The sequence below is a fragment of the Homo sapiens genome, chromosome 5, assembly GCF_000001405.40.
Source record: "Homo sapiens chromosome 5, GRCh38.p14 Primary Assembly".
NCBI classification, from domain to species: Eukaryota; Metazoa; Chordata; class Mammalia; order Primates; family Hominidae; genus Homo; species Homo sapiens.
The window spans coordinates 138062047-138069014 of NC_000005.10; positions in this window are offsets into that span (position 1 = coordinate 138062047).

Sequence of the window (6968 nt, forward strand, 5' to 3'; positions counted from 1 at the left end):
CCCGGACTCTACATCAGAAATTTCAAAAGGAATTTCATAGTTACAAGTTCTTCATGAGAACAATAGCTCCCAGAAAACACCTTCCTTGGTTCCAGGTTTACACTGAAGTTTTTCTTTTTTTTTTATTTCACAACACAGATTCTAGGATACACTGAAGTATTAAGAAAAATCGGGGCCAGGTGCGGTGGCTCACGCCTGTAATCCCAGCACTTTGGGAGGCCTAGGTGGGCAGATCACCTGAGGTCAGGAGTTCGAGACCAGCCTGACCAACATGGAGAAACCCCGTCTCTACTAAAAATACAAAAAAAAATTAGCCAGGCGTGGTGGCGCATGCCTGTAATCCCAGCGACTCGGGAGGCTGAGGCAGAAGAATTGCTTGAACCTGGGAGGCAGAGGTTGTGGTTAGCCAAGATCACGCCACTGCACTCCAGCCTGGGCAACAAGAGCAAAACTCTGTCTCAAAAAAAAAAGAGGAAAAAAAAGAAAGAAAAATCAGGCCGGGCTTGGTGGCTCATGCCTGTAATCTCAGCACTTTGGGAGGCTGAGGCAGATGGATCACCTGAAGTCAGGCATTCAAGACCACCCTGGCCAACATGGCGAAACCCTGTCTCTACTAAAAATACAAAAATTAGCTGGGCGTACTGGCCAGGGCCTGTAATCCCAGCTACTCAGGAGGCTGAGGCAGGAGAATCGCTTGAACCCAGAAGGCGGGGAGGTTGTAGTGAGCTAAGATCACGGCACTGCGCTCCAGCCTGGGCAGCAGAGTGAGACTCCATCTCAAAAAAACAAAAAAGAAAAAGAAAAATCAGCTTCAGGCTAGATGCAGTAGCTCACACCTGTAATCCCAACACTTTGGGAGGCTGAGGTGGGAGGATCACTTGAACTCGGGAGCAACATTGTGAGAACTCATCTTTACTTAAAAAAAAAAAAAAATTTAGCTGGGTGCAGTGGCTCATGCCTGTAGTCCTACCTACTTAGGAGGCTGAGGTGGGAGTATCGCTTGAGCCCAGGGGATGGAGGCTGCAGTGAACCTGACCACACCACTGCCCTCCAGCCTGAGTAACAGAACAAGACCCTGTCCCCACCACCAAAAAAAAAAAAAAAATCAACACATAAGAAAGGAGACATAGGATAGCAGATTTTCCCATCCTACCACTCACTTGGCAGCTATAAAAGAACCAGAGAAAATAGAAAATGTCTTCCTTTTCTTTCTGGTGGTGATATGTGTTCAGAACAGAAGCTCTGGATTAAATTTTTTTGTCAGTGCAAACGTAAAACTATTTCCTGGCCAAGCATTAATCCTTTCCCTTTTTGCATGCTACTCTGGAATATATCTCACATGATTTTTTTTTTTTACAAGGAGAACACCAAACATACTTTATTAGCACAAAAAAAGCAGCCATAACAAGGCACAGCAAGCAGAAACATACATTAGCAGTCAAAAGTTTAGTGTTGCATACAAATATAGCTTTTCTTTTTTGTAGCCTTGGCAATAGCCATAGGGATGTAAAATAACATGCTGTAGCAGCAGGTAAGGAAACTATGGAGCACTCACCAGTGGTACAGAGCACATTAACGAAAAGACACGCGAGTGGATTCGGCTACTTTAGTGCAAAATGTCTAGGACAGAACTGTAAATTCAGTTCAGTTACTAAGAAGCAAACACTAGAACTTGATATAACTTCCAAAAGAGCTCACTCAAGTAGTAGTACATATTATTCTAAGTGACAAAAAGGTGCTAAGTAAAGTTATTTACAGATATAATGGTTGTACAGTACCTTTTAAATCTGCAATTTAGGTTTCAGATTTTCCATTAAGAATTAACTGCACTGAAATTCTATAAATTATACTTAAGCAATTCAGCTACTCACATGAATCTTAAAGAGGCCTACATCGAAACCAAGAGCTGAAAGCACTTATTCAACAGTGGATAGCAGGACAGGCACGGTGGCTCACACCTGTAATCCCAGCACTTTGGGAGGCTGAGGCAGGCAGATCACCTGAGGCCAGGAATTCAAGACCAGCCTGGCCAACATGGGGAAACCCCGTCTCTACTAAAAATACAAAAATTAGCCAGGCATAGTGGCAGGCACCTATAGTCCCAGCTACTTGGGAGGCTGAGGCACGAGAATCACTTAAACCCTGGAGATGGCACCATGATGTCAGGATCTGGAAGAGAGAGAGGAGGAGGAGGAGGAGGAGAAGAAGAATATTCAAATAATGCTTATTGAACATGTACTATATGCCAGGCCAGGCACTGTGTTGAGGGCTTTCCATTTGTTATTTATTTTATTTGAATTTATGTTAAAAATAATGTATTTAAAAATATATGCATAGAAAACAGAATGTGTGTTTGTGTATACATGTGTATATATATAGAGAGAGAAAGGAAGTTACAAATAGTTATACAGCAAACATTCATGTTTTGAAACAAACTCAGGTCACAAAATAAAACATTGTCAGCACCTCAGAAGCTCCTGCCCCATTACAGTCCACACCTCCTTTTTAGAGGTAATCTGTATCCTGACTTTTAAATCACCTTTTCATTTTTCTTTATAATTTCACTATTGATATACTCATAAACATTCTACTGCTGAAACAGGAGACACCTTCCCTCCAGGGCCCTCCAGCCTTCATTCCAGGCTCCCTGCTGCTCTCAGGGCTGCTGCTCACACTTCCCTGTGGCCTTCTTGGCACATCCTCTGCTTTCTGGATCCCTTGCTCAATCACTTCTTGAGAAACAGGGCATGGAAAGTAAAAAGAAAAAGAAGTCAAAACTGCATCTCTGAAATGTCTTTATTGTATCCTCACATTGATTGATAGTTTGGCTCAGAATAGAATTCTAGGTTAGAAATCACTTTCCATGGGACTTTTGAAGGCATTTCTCTATTGCCTTTTAGCTTCCAATGGCACTTGTGAGAATTCTGATTTCATTCTTATTCCTGTCCGTTTGTGCATGCTCTGTTTATCCCCTCTGGATGTTTTCAGGATCAGTTCTTTCTTTCTGGTTCTGGAGTTTCAGAGTGATGACAGCTATGCTGCACTACCCATCCCCCTTTGGGAATATGGGACTTATTCCCCTAGCTTCTGTCAATGCTGCTGTAACCCGCAGCTGACAACCCTCTTTAGAGAATGCCTTGGCTGAAGAAAACTTCCAGAGCCAGCCTGCATCCAGCTACCAGCAGCATGCGGACATGAAGGCCCAGCTCCCTCATCTCAACTGGCAACAACTCTGAAGGGTCCTCCTTGCTCTAGAGCTCCCCCTGGGAGGCAGGCTGAGATCCCCCACTGGCCCTGCATCACAGCCCAACTTTTTCCTCTGCTCAGACCTGTTCCCATCCCCTTTCTTACACAGGTGATTTTCCCAAGAGTACTTTCTTATAAATGTCCTGCCTGCTACTCTCCAGCTTGAGTCTGCCTCCCGGAGAACCCAACCGGCAACTTACAACGTGCCTTGCTGGGGTCTTGTTTATATGCATCATGTGGACAAACACTAGGCTTCGTACTATTGCTAATGTTTACCTACACTGTGAGTGTGGTGGCATTATGCCCATTTTATTAGATATAGAAACTGAGGCTATCAAAGAGAATAACTGGCATAACAAGGTCACATAGTAAGTAGCTAAAATAGGATTTGAAACAAGATCTCTCTTACTACAAAACAAGTACAGTGTTCATCTCTGGAGTGGCAATGGGAGTTTTGGCCACACACTGAGTCCCAGGCTTGAGGAAGGGAAGAAGAGCAGACTGCAGAATAAGTAAAAACACAGGAGCCAAGGCCATAGCATGAACACAGTTCTCCACATTCTCTCAGTGTAAGCCACTTTGTTCCCAGAGGAGGAAAGTGCTGCTGCTGCTGCAATAGATTTGTCCCTTCAGATACCATGGCATCCACTCAAATGCAAGCTGAGTTTACTACATGAGAAGTTCTGACAAATATTGGGACAGGAGCAACTGGGAAAAAAAAAAGAAAGAAAGAAAAGAAAGATACTCGCCGGACGTGGTGGTTCAGGCCTGTAATCCCAGCACTTTTAAGAGGATGAGAAGGGCGGATCATCTGAGGTCAGGAGATGGAGACCAGCCTGGCCAACATGGTGAAACCCTGTCTCTACTAAAAATACAAAAATTAGCCGGGCATAGTGGCATGTACCTGTAGTCCCAACTACTTGGGAGGCTGAAGCAGGAGAATCACTTGAACCTAGGAGGTGGCAGTTGCAGTGAGCCGAGACCGTACCATTGCACTACAGCCTGGGTGACAAAAGTGAAACTCTGTCTCAAAAAAAAAAAAAAGGAAAAAAAAAAAGAAAGAAAAGAAAAAGAAAGATGAAGTATAGAAACAGAGGTTCTGTCTAGAGCTTTCCCCTTCTGACAAATATTTGATATTTAATTTTATTGCCAGCAAAGCTCATGGGATATTGGAAAGATTCCTTCTCTGTGGGCCTCCATTTTTCCTTTATAAAAATAAAAATGTGGCCGGGCGCGGTGGCTCACGCCTGTAATCCCAGCACTTTGGGAGGCCGAGGCGGGCGGATCACGAGGTCAGGAGATCGAGACCATCCTGGGTAACACGGTGAAACCCCGTCTCTACTAAAAATACAAAAAATTAGCCGGGCGTGGTAGCGGGCGCCTGTAGTCCCAGCTACTCGGGAGGCTGAGGCAGGAGAATGGCGTGAACCCGGGAGGCGGAGCTTGCAGTGAGCCGAGATCGCGCCACTGCACTCCAGCCTGGGCGACAGAGCGAGACTCCGTCTCAAAAAAAAAATAAAAATAAAAAAATAAAAAATAAAAATGTTAGATAAATCCTATGGGCTTTAAAAACATCCATATCGCATTGAACCTCTATTCCCAAGCCACAAGCCACAGACTTTTTTTTTTTTTTTGAGACAAGGTCTTGCTCTGTCACCCAGGCTGGAGTGCAGTAGCATGATCTAGGTTGGCATGTGGCATGATCTAGGTTGCTCACTGCAACCTCTGCCTCCTGGGTTCAAACAATTCTCATGTCTCAGCCTCCCAAGGAGCTGGAATTACAGGCATGCACCACCACGCCCAGCTAATTTTTGTGTTTTTAGTAGAGATGGGGTTTCATCATGTTGACCAGGCTGGTTTCAAACTCCTGACCTCAAGTGATCTGCCCGCCTCGGCCTCCCAAAGTGCTAGGATTACAGTCATGAGCCACCACGCCTGGCCCAAAAAATTCTTATATGAGCAATTTAGAAGGGAGCAAAGACATCGCTTCTCGGCCTTTTGGCTAAGATCAAGTGTAGAAGGGAGCAAAGACCACCTGGTGACCATCAAACAGGCTATCTGGCGGCAAAACTCCTTATCTGGGGAATTTAGAGGTAATCAAACTTCCCTAGTATCTAAAGTCAATATCTGATTCTAGGCCTCTTTCAACTTTTATAAGTAATTAAAATTTCTATACATTTCCGGAATGCCATGCTGAGACTAATTTTACAACCCTAAGCTCCCACCTTAAGGTCCATAAATGCCCCTAAGGAAAATCCACCACGCATGCTCAGTCCTCTCGCTGAGGCCCGCGCTACACCCTTTTGCGGCGTTCTTCCTTTCTATTTTTTTTTTTTTTTTTTTTTTTTGAGACGGAGTCTTGCTCTTTCACCCAGGCTGGAGTGCAGTGGCGCGATCTCGGCTCACTGCAGGCTCTGCCCCCCGGGGTTCACGCCATTCTCCTGCCTCGGCCTCCCGCGTAGCTGTGACTACAGGCGCCCGCCACCTAACCCGGCTAATTTTTTTTTTGTATTTTTAGTAGAGACGGGGTTTCACGGTGTTAGCCAGGATGGTCTCAATCTCCTGACCTCGTGATCCGCCAGTCTCGGCCTCCCAAAGTGCTGGGATTACAGGCGTGAGCCACCGCGCCCGGCCGACGTTCTTCCTTTCTAATGAACTTTCCCTTTTCAAACCTATACTGTTATAGGTAAATTCTTAACCAACCCGCGAGTCGACCACTTCCGGTGCCAGAGCTCTGGAACCTCGCCTGACAATCTGCATTTTACAGAGAAAGACACAGACACACAGAAACGTTAAATCATACTAATGAAACAGAGCTGAGACGTGAAGCTAGGCAGTCTGGCTTCAAGATTCACTCTGGGAAAGTGCAATGGAACAACTTTCCAAATTTTTTGGTTTTGATAATCTTGCCAAAAGATGGAGACCTTATAAAGCTGGCAAAAAAGCACACTTTTGGAACAGTATGTACTTAGATTTGCAACAGAGAGAAACATTTTATATTTGATGTTAATAGAAATCGAGAGATGGAAATCCTTCCTCTGGAATCCAAGTAAAATTCTTTTTTTTTTTTTTTTTTTTTGAGACTGAGTCTCGCTTCGTCCCCCAGGCTAGAGTCAGTGGCGCGATGTCGGCTCACTGCAACCTCCTTCTCCCGGGTTCAAGAGATTCTCTTGCCTCAGCCTCCCGGGTAGCTGGGACCACAGGTGCTTGCCACCACGCCCGGCTAATTTTTGTATTTTTTAGTAGAGACGGGGTTTCGCCATGTTGGTCAGGCTGCTCTCCAACTCCTGACCTCAGGTGATCCGCCCGCCTCGCCCTCCCAAAGTGCTGGGATTACAGGTGTGAGCCACCGCGCCTGGCACAAGTAAAATTCTAAATAGAAACGATAACCACGTATCATTCCAATATGACTGTATAATTAAATGGATATAATGCCAGCTGGGAGCATTGTGAAATTGTTTTTTTCTACATTTGTTATTTTGGGTTTACATACTCCTTGAAACAATCTGACAACTAGGAATAATCATCTTCAGTCTATTTTGTAGTGACAACTAATGATTATAATACACTGCTGGTATTAACTACGTCACTCACAGGAATCAGTAAGAGCGGAGGATCTGTATAGGAAAACATGCGGGTCCCTGAACCTTCAGGTGCGCCCCCTGGTGATGAGATTGGTTCTGCCCACGCTCCTGGCAAGTTCCTTGAGGGTTTCTGGATAT